This window comes from Homo sapiens, chromosome 13 (genome assembly GCF_000001405.40).
Source record: "Homo sapiens chromosome 13, GRCh38.p14 Primary Assembly".
Classification (NCBI taxonomy): Eukaryota; Metazoa; Chordata; class Mammalia; order Primates; family Hominidae; genus Homo; species Homo sapiens.
This window is the reverse complement of record NC_000013.11, coordinates 30337572-30358887: the sequence shown is the minus strand read 5'-3', so window position 1 is coordinate 30358887 and position 21316 is coordinate 30337572. Positions and strand designations below refer to the sequence as shown.

The following is a 21316-nucleotide window of genomic DNA, read 5'->3' as shown; positions in this document are numbered from 1 at the left end:
TGCACAAACCCTTTGACCAGCATTCTACCTCTGACAATTTATCCTACAGATATAGTCCCCATGGGCTCAAAGACATGTGTACAAAGATATTCATTGCAGCAAAGGGCTGGAAATAATTTAAACGTTTGACCGGGGACTGATGAAATAAATTATGGAATATCTGTACTATGAGAAACCAAGAGGCTGTTAAAAAAATTAAACCATTCTCATGCACTGACAGGGAAAAATCTAAAATTCATGTCGATTTGTGAGAAAGAGAGACTAGCTAAATAATATGTAGAGAATAATTCCATTTATGTGATAGAAAAAAAGGAGATACATGAACATACGCTTAGGTTGTATATGGAAAGATATTGGTAACTGTTTGCCTCTGCTGAGGGCATCTGTGGTAACTGGTTTCAGGGGTGGAAGGAAGAATTTTAGGTTTATACATGTATGTATATACGTATGTGTGTTTATATGCATGTATGTGTGTGTGTGTATATATATATATATTTTTTTCTTTTTTTAGACAGAGTCTTGCTCTGTCACCTAGGCTGGAGTGCAGTGGTGCCATCACAGCTCACTGCAGCCTCGACCTCCCCGTGCTCAAGTGATCCTCACACCTCAGCCTCCCGAGTAGCCGCGATCACAAGTATGTGCCACCACATGCTGCTAATTTTTGTAGTTTTTGTAGAGATGAGGTTTTGCCATGTGGCCCAGGCTAGTCTCAAACTCCTGGGCTCAAGTGATCTGCCCAGTTCAGCCTCCCAAAGTGCTGAGATTACAGGCATGAGCCACCATGCCTGGCTGCGTGTATATATTGCAATTTTTTTTTTTTTAACTCTGTGCATGTATCATTTTAAAAACTTCTTTAAAAACCTGCCGTCTTAAATCCTAGCACAGGGTCCACCTGGTTCTACCTCATAAAGCTGTGCAGAACACCTCTAATCTTTCTTCTGTAACAGCATGCATTTGCAAACTTCTACCATGGGCCCTTTATATCCCGTCTTCTACAGGTTAAACAAACACAGTTCTTTACATCAATGCTTCCGTCCCTGGCCATCTGGTCTCCTGTCCCCTCCAGACCCAAAACCATGGGCTGGGCTGCAGCAAAATGAGGGTGTACTCAGTGCACTGAGGCCCATGTACCATGAGAGATGGTGAGTGATATCAGGGAGAGGAACATCTGCAGAGGCAGCGCTGCCCTGGGAGGCCCTGTCCCAAGCAGTAGTGGGAGCATCTGGAAGGGGTGAATAGGGAGTGTGGGCTGGGCTGGGCTGGGCTGGGATGGAAGGGAGGCTAAGCATGCAGACACCAGCTTTGCTAAGCTGCGCAGTGCATAAGGGTCCCCCTAAAGGGACTAGTTTGCTAGAATAAAAGAGAAAAACCAGAATCTCCTACATTTACATGGCTACTTTATAATTCTCAAGGCATTTTTTACAAACTGCATTACATTTGTTACTTATCACAGTGCTTTAAGTTAGGTATTCAGGAATTATTTTTCTCATTTCAGGAGAAAGCCTTGGCCGGAGTTTAAGGATTTGGGGCTGGGCACAGTGGCTCGTGCCTGTAATCCTAGCACTTTGGGAGGCCAAGGCAGGAGGATCACTTGAGGCCAAGAGTTTGAGACCAGCCTGAGCAACATAGTGAGACTCTCATTTCTAAAAATAAAAAAGTTAGGCCTGGCACAGTGGCTCATGCCTATAATCCCAGCAGTTTGGGAAGCTGAATCAAGAGGATCACTTGAGGCCAGGAGTTTGAGCCCAGCCTGGTCAACATAGTGAGACTTTATCACTACAAAAAGTTTTTATTTATTTATTTTTTTTGAGACAGGGTCTCGATTCATCACTTAGGCTGGAGTGGAGTGTGCAATCACAGCTCACAGCTCACAGCAGCCTCGACCTCCTGGGTTCAAGCCATCCTCCCACCTCAGCCTCCTGAGTAGCTGGGACTACAGGCATACACCACCATGTCTGGCTAAATTTTTGTACTTTTTGTAGAGACAGGGTTTCGCCATGTTGCCCAGGCTGGTCTCTAGCTCCTGGGCTCAAGCAATCTGCCTGCCTCAGCCTCCCAGAGGCCTGGAACTACAGGCGTGAGCCGCTGCTCTTGGCCATTTTTAATTTAAGAGACAGAGTCTCGCTTTGTTACCCAGGCTGGAGTGCAGTACCCTTACTGCAGCCTTGAACTACTGGGCTCAAGCCATCCTCCCACCTCAGCCTCTCAAGTAGCTGGGACTACAGGTGTGTGTCCCCATGCCCAGCTGACTGAGCTACCACCATGCCACTGCATGCCAGTTGTGACAAAGTGAGACCCTGTCTCTAAAAAATAATTAAATAAAATGTTTAATGGTGTTCTGGGTCCTTACTTCATGGACACTTTCCACTATGCAGCCTGCCACTGATTTCATGTAAAGGCAAAACCAAAAGAGATCCTTTGCTAAATTATCCCAAGTCTTACAATATGGAGATTGGAAAATGTTTTCTATCGAGATAGAGGAAACTGACTGGATGATTTTGCCAGATCATCATGCACATTGGTGAGTTCCAAGGCCCCACCTCCACCCCATAAGACCCTAGGTTAGGCAGGAACACTGGGGGACCCCTTTGTCTCCATTGGCCACACCTGGGCCTGCCTCTACCAAAGGGTAAGAGACCAGTTAAGCTTCTCATGTTGGGGAAAGACAAGTCCCCTCCCTATGGCTGCATAGAAGGAGTTCAGTGTATCCTTAGGGCCGGGGGCATCTGTGGCCTGGGCTTTATACCTTGAGGAATCTCTGTTCTGCAGGGTCTAGATGCTCAGAGTGGCAGCTGAGAGGCAGGAAGGAAGAGGTAAAGAGGGCCACTGGCAGCCCTGGTTACAAAATTCGGGTATCAGGTGCCCCCAGCCAGCCTAGGATATGCAAGTCGCCCAGGCCTGGCTCTTCCTGCAGTCGGCACACGTTCGGGAGGCTGCTTGTCAGCCTCTAGTAACTTTATTTTCCTCTTTTAGGATGCTCTCCCTGGCCATTTTAACCTAATGGATCAGGATAAACAAGTTAGGGAAGCAGAAGGAAGAGCACATAGGAGCATTTCCTTGCAGGCTGGAGTACTAGGGTCCCCCAGGGAATAAGAAAAGGGCTTCTCTTCTTGCTCATAGGAAAATACATTTTACTAGATGAGATACTCTCTGGTGTTCTGAACTGGCAAACACTGGGCCAGGGAGAAAGGAGGCCAGGAGAGGAAGGTGGAGAGGTTTCTGCTGGAATTTGGGCCTTCGGGCCACTCGCTGATAGATCTGGTTGCAGGGGGCGATATTTAAAATGTTTAACAGGCGGGCCTGACCCATCAGACCTGTCACCGCAGGGCCTCCAGAGTCAGCTCCCGGAGGCCCCCTGCTGGGCCATATATGCCCCCGTTTGGTTGCAGGATGGTGGGGAGGTGTGGGGGCTCCAGGGGAGGGGCCAGGGCCTGGGCTGCTTACCACCCAGTGTGGAAGCATTTCTATGTGAGCACAAGGTGTGGCTGCAGCCCTTCACAGCAGCTGAATGTCAGCCCTGGTGGGGTTAGCAGCCGGTGGTCCTGCTGGCCTCTCAGGTTGCCTGGCACTCCCTATATGCTTATTCCAAATCATGCCAGCCTCATGCAGATCCCGGGCAGAATTGCAAACAAAAGACTTGTTTGCAGAATTGCAAAATTCTCCCATCCAGAGCCAGGCCATGCACAAATGTCCCAGTGTATGGTGGGGTGGCCTCTTTGCCTGCAGTAACTCGTGCAATTCTGACATGAGGAGCAAGCAGTTCTTGCTTTATCAGGAGGAATCTTCCTCTCCCTTTATCACCCTCTGGTTCCAGGATACCGTGTACATTTCCGCCCCCATCGCCGTGCAGCTGGAACACACTGTCAGAATGAATGCCTCATTGCATCAGGAATCCAGAGCTCTTCGTCTGTAAAACAGGAGGGGTGGGCTTCCAGAACCACTAACAGATGTCTAAGTGAAAAAAACTCCACACCTGCCCAACCGCCAGCTTCCTTTCTCATTCTTGAGGGCTCCCAGTAACAAGACATTAGAAAAATGTGTTGTGCGAGCTGCGGTTTCCACTTTCCCTGAAGCCTAGCTATCTAATCTCCTGGGAGTGAGAAATCAGGCAGCGAATTGTCTAAGATGGGAGGCAAGAGGTGCCATAGGAGGCCATGTACATGTTGCCCAGGAGGCCTGGTCGCCCAGGACGCCTGCTTCTGCAAACCCAATCGGGGATGACAGCATGGGCTGGCCAAGGCGGGTCTTGACAGAGAAGCCCATGAAAATCCCTGCTGGTTGTCTTAGTCTGAAAACTTCTGCTCTGATGACGCTTGACATGGCAAAGCTTTATTTCATTATTTTTATGTTTATACATATTATTTTTTGCCCTTTATTTTTCCTTTTTGAGACAGAGTCTCCCTCTTTCTCCCAGGTTGGAATGCAGTGGCGCAATCTCCACTCACTGCAACCTCCACTTCCCAGGTTCAAGCAATTCTTGTGTCTCAGTCTCCTGAGTAGCTGGGGTTACAGGCGCACACCACTACACTATTTTTTTTTTTTTTTTTTTTTTGGTATTTTTAGTAGAGATAGGTTTCACCATGTTTGCCAGGCTGGTCTGGAACTCCCGGCCTCAAGTTATCTGCCCTCCTCAGCCTCCCAAAATGCTGGGATTACAGGCGTGAGCCACTGTGCCCGGCCTATTTCTACATATTATTTTTACTTCTAATCCACATATATAGTTTTAAAATTCAGATATTTACAAGCTTTAGTAAAAATTCATAGCCTTGTAGCCTCCTGCCCCCCCATTCTTGCCTTCAGGTACTGCTGCCCAGAGTCAGCCACTGTCTATGACTCCTGGTATTTGCAGCAATCATTCCAAATGATGTGCTTATAGAGTTGTATCTTTCTAAAGCTTAGAAATGATCTCCTGACTTACTGGAAGATGAAGAGGTAGCTTTTTCCTCCTCCCCCCAGGACGTGCTTCTTCCTCACTAAGGAACAGAGTTCCTGTATTTCTATCTATTTTACATGCATGCCTTTGATTATAAGGTTTGCCATTATTTTATGAGGCACTACAAAAGAAGAGAAGTGCAAGTAAAGTAACTATGATGCAACACTTTCTCATCACATTGACTAAAAAATGTGTTCTGATTTCCAAAATGTTAAAATGGGAAAAATATGTGCATTTTAGAATATTACAAATTACAGGACAGCACATCTTCTGATAAAATCCCTGGTCAGTATTTGTATTATTTTGCCTATGTAAATATTGTCTGCAGTGTACTGCGTTTACATTTCTGCTCATGTATATCTTTTCTCCTCGGGAGTTAATAATTGCCTTGTCTTTTTTAATTCATAGGGTTTTTTTTTTTTTTGGCATTTATGAGTAATTCATTCCCAAGCTCTCCTCAGTGTGGTGAACACACTAGTAATCTTGCCATTGCATTTCTCTTCCTGTGCAGACGTCCTCCGGGAACTATCCTTCTGCTTCAAACTCAGGCTGGTTTCTCCTCAGGTCCACTATAGTTACAGCCCAGATTTCAGCGTCCTCCTGGAAATCATTTTTCCTTCTCTCCTGTGTTAGATTCCCTGTTTCCTAGAGCTTGTATCTTTTTCTTGGTTAATTCTTTGTTTTGTTGGAGCACATCCTCTAGTAGCTTCCTGAGAAAGGGTTCATGGCAGCTAAATATTTGGAGACCTTGTAAATGTCCCTTGCACTTGTCTGGGCATAGAACTCAACTTCAGGAATATTTTTTCTTCATGTTAGAGGCTTTCTTCAAATGTCTGGTGATTTACTGTTGACACTCAAGTGACGTGTGCATGAGTGAAGCTTGTCAACCAATGGGCTCATTGTCAGGTGATTCAGTGGAGAGCTGGATGTTTCATTAAGGAACCCACTAGGTCATTCTCTATAAGTCTTTTTTCTCCAACTGGTCAGCTTCCCTAATGATGAATCCTCGAATCTTCTGCCCATGGGGTAGAACCCTCATTGCCAACATTCTGGGATCTAAGAGGGGGAAGGAGGCTGTGGTGTCCTATAATCCAGAGTGCAGTTGGGTGCAGTGGCTCACTCAGGAGTCCCAGCCACTTGGGAGGCTGAGGCAGGAGGTCTGCTTGAGACCAGGAGTTCAAGACCAGCCTGGGCAACATAGTGAGACCCCATCTCTACAAAATACGAAAATTAGCTGGGCATGTTGGCATGTTCCCATGGTCCCAGCTACTCAGGAATTTGAGGCTGCGGGGAGCCACGATCATGCCATTGTACTTTAGCCTGGGTGACAGCAAGACAAAACAACAATGACGATAAAGCACGGAGTGTCTTTTAATTCCGTTTCTATGGTGTGTCACACGCCGGGTCTTGGTTGTGCCTGGTGTCCTTGAGTCCAGTCCCTCTCGGATTCAACCTTTCCTCCCGAGGCTGGGCAGGGACAGTGGTGTGACAGTGCAGCTGTGCATAGGCCTACATAGGGATGGAAATAAATGTGGAGTCTTATAGCTCCATGTACAAATTCTCAACACATTTGTTTTCAGCCCACCTGCACCCATGTTCTGCACAGAGGGAACCAATTTCTGCTTTTTCTAAGATTCTGTGGTGTAGCTGATTTGCTTCTTACAGATTTCTCTCCCTTTGAGCTTAGGTTGCAGCTTTATCTTCTCTGCTAAATTAGTTGCTTCTCATTCATCTGCTTTTTTTTTTTATTTCCATAACATTGTTAACATTTTTATCTACTGTTGTCTCTGTTCCTATTTTCTCTTTATACTTATGGGTCTAGGCAGTGGTGTGCTGGTAAGTGCTTGATAAAACAGCTCTTGCGGGGAAGGGAGGAACCCTGAGTGGTAGCAGTCCAATTTCTGTGGTGTAAATATTCCTAATGTGGCTAATTTCAAGGCACCAAAAGGACATCCCTGAACATGCAGTTGGAAAGAAAAGCAAAGTAGCACACCATTATCCAGATGGTTTCTGGCTTAAAATGGTTCCACTTAACGATTTTTTGACTTTACGATGGTGTGAAAGTGATACACATTCAGTAGAAACAGTACTTCAGTACAGTATTCAGGAAATCACATGAGATATTCAACACTTTATTATAAAATAAGCTATACGTTACATGATTTTGCCCAACTGTAGGCTAATGTAAGTGCTCTGAGCTCGTTTAAGGTAGGTTAGGCTAAGCTCTGATGTTCAGTAGGTTAGGTGTATTAAATGACTTTCTGGTTTATGATACTTTCTTTCTTTCTTTTTCTTTTTTTTTTTTTTTTTGAGATGGAGTCTTGCTCTGTCACTCAGGCTGGAGTACAGTGGCACAATCTCAGCTCAAATGCAACCTCTGCCTCCTGGGTTCAAGCAATTCTTCTGTCTCAGCCTCCTGAGTAGCTGGGACTACAGGCACCTGCCACCATACACAGATAATTTTTGTATTTTTAGTAGAGACAGGGTTTCACCATAGTAGTCAGGCTGGTCTTGAACTCCTGACCTCAGGTGATCCACATGCCTCAGCCTCTCAAGGTGCCAGGATTACAGGTGTGAGCCACCGTGCCTGGCCTGGTTTATGATCTTTTCAACTTAAAATGAGTTTATCATAAGTCAAGAAGCATCTGTGTAATATTTCCACTATACACATACAGTAGACATGAACAATAGAAAAAAGTAACCTTAAGAGAATATATAATTATAAAAATATTATGAAGTGACGAGTATTGAGATTTTATTAGCTTTATTTATTTATTTATTTACTGAGATGGAGTTTCTCTCTGTCGTCCAGGCTGGAATGCAGTGGTGCGATCTCGGCTCACTGCAACCTCTGCCTCCCAGTTCAAGCGATCCTCGTGCCTCAGCCTCCTGAGTAGCTGAGATTACAGGCACCTGCCACCATGCCTGGCTAATTTTTGTATTTGTAGTAGAGACAGGATTTCACTATGTTGGCCAGGCTGGTCTCAAACTCCTGACCTCAGGTGACCCGCCTGTCTTGGCTTCCCAAAATGCTGGGATTATAGGTGTGAGCCACCCCACCTGGCCTTTATTAACTTTATTTTTAACATAATTTTAAAAATTGTAAGCCTATACAGTTTAGTTTTTTAAATAGCTATGTGCAACAACCAGCTAGCAAAATTCCCGACAATTTAACAATCAGTTCTCAAAAGTCAGTGTCAGCTGGCCCTAATGCACCACTGAGTTTATGCCTTTGTAATGGTTTTCTTATCTTTTCAGTATATTAATCAATTGTTTTTAAATTTATTTCTCTATAGCATACAGTTACCTCTCCTCACATATTGTTAACACATTGGTAATCCATCCAAAATTCACATTGTCTAATTGTAGCTCTCAAACTGTGGTGAAGAAAAGATGACACCTCAGTAGAATGAGATGATGCTTGACATGAGGGATAAATAAAAGGGTTAAAATAAAATGAGGTGAGGGGAGGTCATCAGTATCCACAGGTGGTCAAAGAAAAGTGGTGTCAACACGATTGGGCAGAAGGAGACTGATACAGTTACTGCCTTGTCCCAGCAACACAATTGCTAGCAATACAGTTGCTAGGACAAGGTGGTAACAGTACCAAACTTCCAGTTCCCATTTAATCTCAGCTTTTTTTGTTTTTTGGGATTTTTGTTTGAGATGGAGTTTCACTCTGTCGCACAGGCTGGGCACGATCTCGGCCCACTGCAACCTCCACCTTCTGGGTTCAAGCAATTGTCCTGTCTCAGCCTCCCAAGTAGCTGGGAATAAAGGCGCCTGCCACCACACCGGGCTAGTTTTTGTATCTTTCATAGAGACAGGGTTTCACCATGTTGGCCAGGCTGGTCTCAAACTCCTGACTTCAGGTAATCCACCCACCTCAGCTTCCCAAAGTGATAGGATTACAGGTGTGACCCACTGTGCCTGGCTAATCTCAGTTTTTAAGAAGATACCATTTAATACATCTGTGTTTCTTAGCAATTCTCTGAAGTGCTTCCAAGCAACATCTTACTCTAAACATATATGACCATGAAGTGTCTGTATAATAAGACCAAGTGCCTACATAGAGCCCTTCATGAGATGAGCTCAAAGCATTTTACCAACAGTACCTCGTTAAGTCTTACCAAACCTCTGTGGGAATTGAGGGGGAACATCATTATTTCTGTTTTACTGATGGATAAAGCAGAGGCCTTAAAGCAAACCAACAGTAGCTGAGGCCAACTTGTTTGTCTGCAAATCCAATGTTCTATCTTTTCATGACAACACAATCTTGAACACCAAGTTATATTTTCTGCCTCTATATAGCTACGTGGAGGGTACAGTTTTATCTGAAATATCAATGAATTATTTGAAGTCCTGAATTGTATGATTCTGGTTTTTACCTTTGTTGACCCCCTCACACCTTCTCGCCTGTGTGATTTGCTAGCATCTTATGGTGTTAATACCAAAGACCTACCTAGTTACTTTTAATTGCAATTAAAGTGATTAAAAGTAATTGCACAGCCAGGCACGGTGGCTCACGCCTGTAATCCCAGCACTTTGGGTGGCTGAGGTGGGTGGATCACCTGAGGTCAGCAGTTCGAAACCAGCCTGGCCAACATGGCGAAACCCCATCTCTACTAAAAATACAAAAATTAGCCGGGTGTGGTGGCAGGCACCTGTAATCCCAGCTACTCGGGAGGCTGAGGCATGAGAATCACTTGAACTCAGGAGGTGGAGGTTACAGTGAGCCGAGATCACACCATTGCACTGCAGCCTGGGCAACAGAGTGAGACTCCATCTCAAAAAAAACCCAATAAATAATAAATAAATAAATGTAATTACACAAACCACGATTACTTTTGCACCAACCTAATTATCCAACATAACTCCAGTCTGGCTGTAGAAATAGGGGAGTGTTGAAACCAGAGGGCTGCACCATTCGGGTACAAAGGAGAAGATCAGGTACTGTGGTTTGGTCTCTGTGTTGAGCAGATAACAAAGCTTTAATAATTGCCCAAATAGACAATGGACATTTTGAGCATTTATTATGTGCAAGATATGAAATTTAGTATTCTATACTTATTGGCACATTTAAATTATTTTCACAATGACAATTTGTGGTTGGTATTAGCATTATCCCTGTTTTTCAGATAAAGTAAAGCCTACAGGGTCTGAGTAAGTTTCACAAAGACACAGCTAGTGAGTGGTTTGAACCAAAGGCTGTCCAGCTCTAGGTCCATGTGCTTTTAGGGGCTATTGTCTGCCTTTCTGCTCCATCTTTTAATAACACAGCTGGCCTCTTGGCTATGGGAATTAGTGTAGGGATGGACCTGGCACCCAGCAGAGTCCTAAACCAGGGTTCTCCTAGCTGGACCTAGCAGAAGAACCCTTTCTTCCTTGGTCACAGAGTCATTCGGCTGTTTCCCCGGTAAGGTGGGCTGCCATGTCTACTGCTCTGTGAAGAAAGCCCTCTGTAGGAGGAGAGAATGAAATCTACATGCAAAGAGAAAAGCAGAGATTATGATGGGGAGGCTGGGTGTGGTGGTTCACGCCTGTAATCTCAGCACTTTTAGAGGCCGAGGCGGGTGGATCACTTGAGGCCAGGAGTTTGAGAACAGCTTGGCCAACATGGTGAAACCTTGTCTCTTCAAAAAAATTAGCCAGGTGTGGTGGCACATGCCTGTAATCCCAGCTACTCAGGAGGCTGAGACATGAGAATCACTTGAATCCAGGAGGCAGAGGCTGCAGTGAGCTGAGATCGTGCCATTGCACTCCAGCCTGGGGGACAGAGTGAGACCGTGTCTCAAAAAAAAAAAAAAAAGGGAGAAGAATTCTGATGGCGTTCAAATCCTTGACTTCAATCCCTGACCCTGTTATCTAAACTAGCCTGAGTTCAGCTTTTGCCACTAGCCCACTGGGAGTGTCCTGAGTTACACAGGGTTTATATACCACACTATCCAGCTGCCACCTGTATCAAGTTGACCAGGATAGGGGAGTTCGCCACTGGGTCCCTTGGACTTACCCCAGTTGGTGTCAAATCTTTAAGCAGGTAAACTTTCCCCACAATACAACCCTTCTTCCACTTTTTTTTTTTTTTTTTTGAGTTGGGGGTCTTGCTCTGTCACCCAGGCTGGAATGCAGTGGCACAATCATAGCCTACTGCAGCCTTGAACTCCTGGGCTCACGTGATCCTCCCTCTTCAGCCTCCTGAGTAGCTGGGACAACAGGTGTACACCACCATGCCCCAACCCTTCTTCCACTTTGGAATATACTCTGTATCACACCCATAAGATTCTTCTCCATCTCTTGTTACTTGGCCAAGCCTCCTAATGCAAATACAGCACAGTATGTAGTGACAATGTGGACATCTTAGTGTTGACAGGCATTACTTCATATTCTGACCTCAAGAGGCAGGACAGCAGTCATGGAACTAACAATATGAACAATACGATGACATTCCTGACTTCAGCTGGGGGTCTCCTAACTGTATGATTTCACAGGCCAGATTATTACGATTTTTTTGGATGGGACAGGGGTGGGGAGAACATCATAGAGCTGCCAACTTTTTATTTTGTCAAACAGGGCTAGTAGACTTAAATTTATCCTTCCCCAACTCTTCATTCGTTTACTTAACAGGTCTAGAAAACACTCTTCTGTCATCCCTGAGGTTAAGCAACCTTACTAAGTCACTGGAAAAATATAAAAAGTCACATGAATTCTTCCACTCCACTTCACCTGATACCTTTGGTTACTGTCTTAGTCCATTTGTGTTGCTGTAAAGAAATATCTGAGGCTGGGTAATTTATGAAGAAAAGAGATTTATTTCGCTCACAGTTCTGCAGGCTGTACAAGAAGCATGGCACCAGCATCTGCCTCTGGGGAGGGCCTCAGGCTGCTTCTACTCATGGCAAGAGGCAAAGGGAAGCTGGTATGTAGAGACCACGGGGTGAGAGAGAGAGCAAGAGAGAGAGGAGAGGTACTGGGCTTTTTATTTAACAACTAGCACCTCCGGGAACTAAGAAAATGAGATCTCACTCGTTACCAAGAAGTCAGCACCAAGCCATTCATGAGGGATCTGCCTCATGACTCAAAATACTTCCTATTAAGCCCCACCTCCTAACAACACCACATTGGGGATCAAATTTCAATATGAAATTTATTGGGGTCAAATAAACCATAATCAAACTATAGCAATTACCTTCCAAAATTTAGAGGCAAGTATATGGAGACTGTCAGTTGACCTTGTTGGTAATAATTTTTTTAGTTAGCTGGAAGCTAGAAAGGGCAGAAAGAGGTGAAGAGGAAGCTGTGGCCATGGAGGTTAATGTGGTCTGGGCTTGGGGTAGGTGTGGTGAGTGGAGGTTGACAACAGGTACAGCTTGTACTGCAAGGGCTGGGTAGCACAGGAGCTAAGGGAGGTGGGAGGGCCCGCAGAGCCCAGGTCCTATGCTGGGTGTTCTCTGACGAGCTCTGGAATGAAGTAGGCATGGGCAGTTGTTAAGGCTTTAAATCCCTCGATGTTAGGCCTTGAGGGACTGTGATTTCTCCCCACATCACTTCCCCTTAACCAAGTAGTAAACTACATTTGGCCAAAATTGTGCCTTTAGGACAATAGCCAGAGCAAGACGCAGAGCAAATCTATGACAGCCACGCTAACACTGCACATAGGACCAGACACAGAGAAAAAGCCTTCTCAGTGTGCACAGTGTCTGCATCTAAGCAAAATAAGTCTATCAGAATCTCCTTGAAACTGCTGCCAGGGAAATCTGAAAGCTTCTAGTAAGCAAAGCACAATGAAATGGAAATGAGTTATAGAGTACCCATTACCTCTAGTTTAATGTGCAATTGATAAGCTCTTTTACTTACTGTACCACCTGTTTTATTTTAATGAAAGGAAAAATTAGCTATTAGAGCTTTCGTGGACTCATTTGCAACCATGGTCTCCCAACTGTATTTCTTTGAGATGGCTTTAAGTTCCTGAGTCCCCAGTTCTCTGACTGAGGTAGTGGTGGTGGGCTGTGTTGGGGAGGCAGGCCTTTGATTGGGGAATGTGGTCAGTGACCTTCAAGATGGCCTGTGATGGTCCCCACCTCCTGGTGTTCACCCTTGGTGTAGTCCCCTCCCACACTGTGGCAGAGTTGATCTATGTGACCAATAGGACACAGCAGAACCCAGTGGAGTTTATTTTTAAGATTAGTTCTCATGTTCTCCCTCTCTCTCTCTCTCCCCTCATCTATCAGATCACTAATTCTCAAGCCAGCTCTCATGTCAAAAGGACATGCAGACAGTCTATGGAGAGGCCATGGGGACTCTAGCCAACAGCCAGTGAGGGCCTGAAGCCATGAACACTGTGAGCACACTTGGAAGTGGCTCCTCCAGCCCCAGTCAAGCCTTCAGGTGACTGCAGCCCTGACTTGACAGCAACCTTGTGAGAGCCCCTGAGTCAGCCCCACCTTACTAGTTTCCAGACCCTCAGATGCTGTGAGAGGTCACACACATTTGCTGTGCCAAGCTACTGTGTTTGGGGGTAATTTGTTACACAGCAATAGAAAACGTAATACAGAGAGTACAGTACCCATTACCTCTAGTTTAATGTGCAATTGATAAGCTCTTTACTTACTGTACCACCTGTTTTATTTTAATGAAAGGAAAAATTAGCTACTAGAGCTTTTGTGGATTCATTTTGTGGATTCAGAGGGAAGATAGTATCTTCTTGACTCAAGAGGAGGCCCTCATTACTTCTGCTGGGAGAACTGTCCATGTCCCTGATTAGAGTGGTTGGGGCATTCTCACTTCCTTTGCTAGACTGGGGGTACTGGTGTTTTGAATTAGATACAGAAAGGATTTTGCCTACATTCATTGCTGCATGCCTGTAACCCTTGTCATTTGGAGGCATGGATCAGGAAGCGCACACAGAATCTAGAGGATGATGCAGATCAGTTCTTCTTGTCCCTGTTCCATCTTGGTGGGGGCGGCAGGAAACATTTTTGTGCACTTGTAAGCTTCTGAAACTGGTATAAATGAGAAAAAAATAAGCTTTCTTTCTTATTATAAACACAAAATACCTGTGGTGTAAAAGATAAAAAGGCAAAACTATTCACCACCAATGATTCCACCATCCAGATACAAATACTGTTAACAACTGGAGCATATCATACTCCTATCTAGGTATATATATTTTACACAAATAGACAATATAATAAGTGCTATTGTATGACTTTTTTCATTACATATATTATGAGGCTGTGTTTATGTGACTAATATATCTTGTCATCTGCAATTATAATTTTAAATGGTTGCATGATACCCATTATACAGATGTGTCATAATTTCTTAAGCCAGTCACCTTTTGTTGGATTAAATTTGTTTTTATTTTTGCTATTATAAGGATTGCTAAAAAGAATATGCTTGTAGCAAATATTTGTACCTACCTTGACTTTCCTTCTTATGATAAATTATTAAAATAGAATGGTTGGACTAAAGCATGTATACATTCTATTTTATTTATTTTATTTTATTTTATTTTTTGAGACGGAGTCTCTCTCTGTTGCCCAGGTTATAGTGCAGTCATGTGCTCTCAGCTCCGCTCAGCAACCTCTGCCTCCCAGATTCAAGCGATTCTCCTGCCTCAGCCTCCTGAGTAGCTGGGATTACCGGCGCCCACCATCATGCCTGGCTAATTTTATAATTTTAGTAGAGATGGGGTTTCGCCATGTTGGCCAGGCTGACCTCTAACTCTTGACCTCAGGTGATCCACCTGCCTCGATCTCCCAAAGTGCTGGGATTACAGGCGTGAGCCACCGTGCCCGGCCTAAAGCATATATACATTTTAAATGCATTCCCATATATTACCAAATTGCTTTCCAGAAAGTTTGTACCAGTCTATACTCATTGAAATTTATTAGTGTCTATTTCCTTGTACCCTTGCCAGCACTGAGTAATAATTTTAAAAAAATCTTTCTGGCCTTCTATTTATATGGGAAACATAGGGACTTTTCAAGAAGTCTAGCTTATATTCAAAATTTGGCAGCAGCTGGCCAGGCGCCATGGCTCACATCTGTAATCCCAGCACTTTGGGAGGCTGAGGCTGGAGGATCACTTGAGCCCAGAAGTTTGAGTCTAGCCCGGTCAACATAGTGGGTCCTTGTCTCTACAAAAAATACAAAAATTAGCTGGGTGTGTTGCTGTGCACCTGTAGTCCTAACTACTCAGGAGGTTGAATTGGGAGGATCCCTTGAGCCTGGGAGGTTGAGGCTGGAGTGAGCTATGATTGTACAACTGTATTCCAGCCTGAGCAACAGAGCAAGACCCTGTCAGAAAGAAAAGGTAAGAAGAGAAGAGAAAAGGTAGGAAGAAAGGAGAGGAGACGAGAGGAGAGGAGAGGAGGAAAGGAAGGAAGAAATTGGCAGCAGCTTTGAGGGTGAGCAAGCTCTACTATAATCCAATGCCCAGTCAAGGGTGAGAGAAATGAAGAAATGAATTGACTGTTTCTCCCAGATTATGCTTAGAAGATGACAGGAAGAATGTTGAAAATAATATGTATGTGTTCAGGATGTAAGAAAGATCAAACATAAAATATTCAAATCTCTTGGCCCTGTAATTATACTTCTGACAGTTTAGCTTAAATAAAAATTCCAGTGAAAGGGAAAAGGGTATATACACCAAAAAAGTTTATTAACAGTACTTATTTTTTTTTCTAAGACCTAGGTGAAAACAAAACATTACTTATATTAGGGAAACACTACAAACACTTAACAGAAGAGAAATAGTTTAAGAAACTGGGGTATATCAACTTGAAGGAATATTATACAGTTGTTAAATTCGTAAAGGTTATATAGAAACATGCAAATATGTTTATGATGTAATTAGTCATATAAAGGTTATATAGAAACATATATGTTTATGATATAATGTGAGGTATAAAAAGAAATACATACAATTTTTAGCATTTAAAAATATGTACTAGTTAAATCCACATCAACAAGACTGGAAGGAAATATAAAACTACTAATCGTTGTGAAAGAGAGTGGCATCCTATCTTTGAATTTTTTTTTTTCCTGCATTGATTGCTTTTATTTAGGAAAGACCTGATGTCATATGGAAGCCAAGAAGAAACTCTTGTCCAATTTGTAGGGAAAGCAGAGAGACAGAGAGACAGAGAGAGCTTCAGCTTGGTTTCAAAACAAGGATGGAAATACAGAACAACTTAAGTTACCAGCACACTTCATAACAATTAAAAATCATCTCGCTTCTTCCTTCTGCCAGCATAATTTTGGGCTCACAGGTGGATTGACCTGACCTCCAAGAAATGTGTGACAAGGACTCGCCCCTTACCTCCTCAGTTACAGCACGTTTGGTGTTTATGTGAAGCTGGTGGCTTTCAGTATCATGGTGAAAATTTTCTTTTAGGTCATAATTGCTTAACTACAATGAAAAGTATTGATTTTGGAAAAGGCTCATCTTCCCAAAGAGGTTCACTTCAGGAGGTGAATTAATGTGCTCCAGGGACAGTCATGGAAAATGCTTGGCCACACTGGCCGTGTTCTGTAGCCAGGCATTGCTGAACAGTGCAGAGAAAGGCGCTGGAGGCAGACAGAGCTGGGCTGGAAGCCAGGCTCCACTTCATACCAGAAGTATGAGCCCGGGCAAGTTATTGAACTTCTACAGCTTAGTTTACGTAGCTGTGAAAATGGATGAATAATGCCTGCTTGTGCTGTTGTTAGGGAGGGGACGCCTGCTTGGAGGCGAGTATGCAGTAGGTGCTCAGTGAGTGGTGATGAGATAAAAAGCAATGCTGCTCATTTTCTATATTTCTCTTTTCATACTTATTGAGATTACAATGGAGAGAAGGGACACCAGCTTAAAAGAAAACATTTGCAAATCTGTTTCTGATAAATGGAAATGAGAGCAACTGTAAACCACATGAGTCTGTCCAGGACAGAAGAGAGTGAGTGAAGGAAGGCTTTCTCAGCTGGGTGGTTATGTGAGCAGCGCCTCTACTGCCTCTCTGTTAAGTAATTTATCTGGACATCTTGATTGATAATGATGTGGCACTAAAAAACGAAAAGGCATCACAAAACTGCAAACCCTCTGCTTGCACTGTGGGAATAAAATTGGTCACGAAAAGGTGATGGCCACAAAAATCTGGTGGCGGGGTGGGGGGCGGGGGGTGCGGGGAATAGAAAATCTTACATAATATCTATTCCTGTGTTATTTTTTTAAAATCAGTTTATACAGTCTAATTTTTAAAAACAAAAGCTAGATTTTAGCTCTTCTCAATCCAGTGATTTGAAATCAGCCTGAAGAGAGCAAGGTGCATTGAATTTGCTATGACATCAACCGAATTTGTCAATTTCATTTGGATTTCCAGAATGTCCAGTGCTAGGAGACTCATAAGTTGGAGAGAAACGGCCTGATTTATAGAAACTGAGCGAGACTCCGGACCACCTGATGCAGAGAAACCTGTGACCTGAAAAAGTCTATTTGTGTTTCCTCTAGGAATCTCGGCCAAGAAGACAGGGACAAGCTCCCAACTCTGACTACCCCTTTTACAGGGAAAAAAAAAAAATCCCGTGCCTTCTTTGCAGCAAGTGACAAATCCTTGTCATATCGAGATGGCTTTTCCTCCTCCTCTTCAAACATCTTTTAGCAGCAACAGCAGCTCAAGTAACTGGAATTATTTCAGAGTTAAAATGCAGGCTTTGTAGACCCTCTTAGACAGACAGATTCAATTTCAAAGGAAACTTCTTTGGCTGGGTACTCAGTGAGTGTTACACAGGGATTTGGGGAGTTAATATTCACTGTTTCTGTTGTTGGAGAAAAGGAAAGCAGAGTTGCTCTTTCTCATTACTCTCCCCAACGCACATCTGTTTCCTCTCGTATCTTGGAATTAGGAAGATGGAGGAGACTTAAGTGGTGACCCACCTAGCCTCCTGATGCATGCTGGGCTCACTTTAAAACTCCCAAAACAGATGGCAGTTGATCACGGTTTTAAAGATCCCAGCATAGACTTTCTGCAGCCTCCCTTGTTAGCCACTATCAGCGCTTAACATTCTGTCATCTGAATAACTCCTTAAAAATGATAGCAATGGTAGTAGAAATTTAAAAGGAACCTCCCAAAAAACATGCAAAAGCTTACCACCCCAGTAAATCACCCGCAACAATGTCGCAACAGTTTAAATTTACTGCAGAGAGAGCTGAAGTTTAGGAGACACAGCTTTATAATATTTTTGAGAGATAGTTGAGTGCAAATGAGTCCTGTTCCTCTTGCATCAGGGCCTGCTCCACTGAGTCATCCTGCCTTCAGAAGCTTCCAGCTAAGTGGCAGGCCCCGGCCATAGGCTCCCTGTGTCCCCAGCCTCCAGAGAACACACAATGTTCTCATCGCCCTTAGCTCCATTCCAGAAGGGGCCTGCAGTTCTGCAGCTTATCAGGGGTCTACTGGGAAGTGAGATGTCACTGTCCCTTTCTGGCCCTGCATTGTCTGTGAGTGGCTCTCCTGGATTAAGAGTTGGCAAAGTATGGCCAGTGGCCAGGACTGGCCTGCTGCCTGTTTTTGTTTAACCCGTGAGCTAAGAATAGTTTTTACCTATTTTAAGTAGTTGAAAAAAAAATCAAGAGAAGAATACTATTTCGTGATATGTGAAAAATCACATGAAATTCAAATGTAAGTGTCCATAAATAAAGTCTTACTGGAAGACAGCCTTGCTCATTTATTTCTGTCTCATTCGCTACTGTCTGCGGCTGCCTTCACGCTACAATGGCAGTACTGAGTAGTTGTGACGGGCACTGTATGACAGCAAATCCTAAAGTATTTGCCATCTGGCCCTTCACAGAAAAAGTTTGCTGACCCTGGCTTTCGAGCCTCTCATCACTTTGGGATTCATCTCTTTACTTTCCCCAGAGTGAGGGAGGCAGTAACGTTCCTCGTGAGTGCTTAGTCCTTGCTCCCAAGGCAATAAACCCCCCAAAACCCCTCTCTTTCTGCAGTCTTCTTGTTGGCTTGATAGTGGTAGGGCTGGTTCAGCCAAGGTCACAGTTGGAGGGCAGGAAGGGGGTACAGCGAAGGACGACGGGGGTGTCTTCTCTAGTCCTGTTTGCAGCAATCTTTAGAATGCAAAATAATTAAGAAGAAACTGCTGTTTTTTGGCTGTGGGATGCAATTCGAATTCTGGAAAATTAGAATCAACAGAACGTGGGATGTGGGAGTCCAGGACAACTCCCCTGTTTTGGCTGTGTTTGGTGCCATGTGTGGAGGTGGGAGAGATGGGAGAAAGAAGAGGTTTGGGCAGGGGGAGGGAAGAATCAAGATTCTGCTTTGAATGGACGAAGGTTGTGGTTTGTTGAGAGGACAACTAGATAACTGGCCACTTGAAGATGGGATGGAAGTCTGAATCTGCAAGGAGTCACAGATGAATGGTATGGAAAGCTGTGGTAGTGGATGAGATCATACGAACGGTGGGTGCAGATGGAAACGAGAAGCCATCTAAGGACTCGTAATGGGCTCCTCAACACTTGGAAGTTGGGTAGAGGAAGAAGACCGCATGAGGGCAGGATCCTGAATGTTCCACTCACTGCTATATCCCTAGCACTGGTTACAGTGCTTGGCACACACTGCATGCTCAATAAATTATTTGTTGCCCATATAAGTGAACGTGAATTCCAATGGACTAGCATCTTCCACTCTCAACATAAACAAAAACAACAGCAACATTGCAATTCCCTATCTTCTCTTCCCTGATCTCTTTCTCATTCTGTCTCTCCTTCCCTTTTCCTCTGCCTTCCTGTTGCCTTCTCTGATATGAGTTAAATTTATCAGGGGTGTCCAGGTACCCGGCTATTCTTGAGCATTCCTTATCTGGCTACAACTCTGGGTGACACTGGTTACTAGTTTAGTGAACGAGCCAACATATATTCTTCTTTTTGTCTACATAGTTTTTTTTAATGTTAAACTTGTTCCTATTGCACCTCACTCTTTATGAACTGTCAGTTAATGCTATTTTGGCTCTATTCCTACCTTAGACGGATGCTTGACAACTTGGTGTCATCTGACCTTAATTAGGACATTCTTGGTTAAGACATTGTTGGTGTAAAGAGAGAGATGTTCAGTATGGGGTCCTCTCTGACATGAGTAAGGTCACAGAGGATGTCCCTAGGTGGAGGCTGAGTCATCGATAGGCTGCCTTTTGGGTGATATTATTCAGCTCTTTGTGCCTGCACTTAAGACAGAAGAGAGTCTCTCTTATTTCCTTCTATCTAATTGATGAAAAGTCATTTGTGATGGAATCTAAGGTCAGATTCCAGCACAAAGAGATTACATCTCTTGCTCATTCTTTATCTACATGGCCTATCTACCATCAAAGAAAATTAAATTGGTCTGCCAAGATCTGATCTACACATACCATTGAGATGAGTGCAAATTGATTGCTTGTTTTTGCTAGAGTCACTCTTGGCACAGAAGAGAAGTGGACTTCTATCAATCACGGCCTGCTTGGGAGTTGCGTGGGGTGGGGCGAGGGACGTTAGAGAGACTTGACAAGGCTGGAGGCCATGTTCAGCACCAGGCATTATGCCAAGCACTTGACAAGGATTTTCTCAACTAATATTCACAAATGCCCAGCGAGGTTGGTATGATTACATCTGCTTTCTAGTTAAGGAAACTGAGGCTGAGAAGGCAGAGTGTCATGTTTGAGGTCACACACTGGTAAGTGGCAGAAGCAGAACGGGAACTTCACATCCTTCACGCTGAGTCCAGCAGTTATAAATGTGTGGTATTCCAAACAGTATCGCATTGCAGGGAAGACAATCTTTAAACTCCCAAAGCTTCAAACATAACCAGGATACAGATCACTTCCAAATGTTTAGCTCTGCCCTCTAAAATCCAGCCGACATCTCCAACTGCCTTCTGGACATTTCTACTAGGACATCCTTCTAAAGGCTAGAGCACAATGTAGAAACTCAAATAACCATCTTCCCTTCAAAATCCTGGCCTCTGCTCCTCACTGTCCCGTTTCTTCATGGTATGTCATTCTGCCAAACTTCTCAAAACCTGAGTTATTCTGAATCTCTCCTCAGAGATTGTATCCCTAAAACATTTCTTATCTCCATCTCTATCTCCATTTTCACTATCACTACCATTTTGGCCTTTGTCACCTAGGGCTGGGATGACCAAAACAATGAAACATATCTTTCCCCAGCTGTCACAATTTAAACGCTGCTTCATCAAGTCAGAGCCTTAACTATGGGCCTCAATTTTGTCTGAATATTGGAATCACCTGGAGAGTTTAAGCAGCACTACAAATTCTCTATGAATGCTCTCCCCTTTCAGCATTACCAGGGTCATATAAGATGTGTTTGTATCTGGGAGACCAATGATGTCGTTGTAGGTTCTGGAGG

The 21316-nt window shown here is 43.9% G+C and overlaps 2 long non-coding RNA genes across 2 annotated transcripts in view, besides 1 other annotated feature; one reads left to right on the top strand and one right to left on the bottom strand.

The window, feature by feature from the left end:
* LINC00426 (long intergenic non-protein coding RNA 426) overlaps window positions 1-18622 on the top strand; it is a 33649-nt gene extending 15027 nt beyond the window's left edge. Inside the window, exon 5 of the long non-coding RNA NR_024464.2 lies at window positions 17420-18622. This is a non-coding gene — a long non-coding RNA (long intergenic non-protein coding RNA 426). The remainder of the gene's footprint in view (window positions 1-17419) is intronic.
* The window catches only part of LOC124903145 (uncharacterized), a 29426-nt gene continuing 19829 nt past the window's right edge, over window positions 11720-21316 (bottom strand). Inside the window, exon 2 of the long non-coding RNA XR_007063742.1 lies at window positions 11720-13932. This is a non-coding gene — a long non-coding RNA (uncharacterized LOC124903145). The remainder of the gene's footprint in view (window positions 13933-21316) is intronic.
* Window positions 19814-21013: an enhancer, noted in NCBI's record as "P300/CBP strongly-dependent group 1 enhancer chr13:30912012-30913211 (GRCh37/hg19 assembly coordinates)". NCBI's record gives its function as "activates an origin of replication core promoter dependent on BRD2, BRD4, P300/CBP, MED14 and CDK7 cofactors, with strong dependence on P300/CBP, by STARR-seq in HCT116 cells {active_cell/tissue: HCT116}" and the evidence as "EXISTENCE:reporter gene assay evidence [ECO:0000049][PMID:35650434]".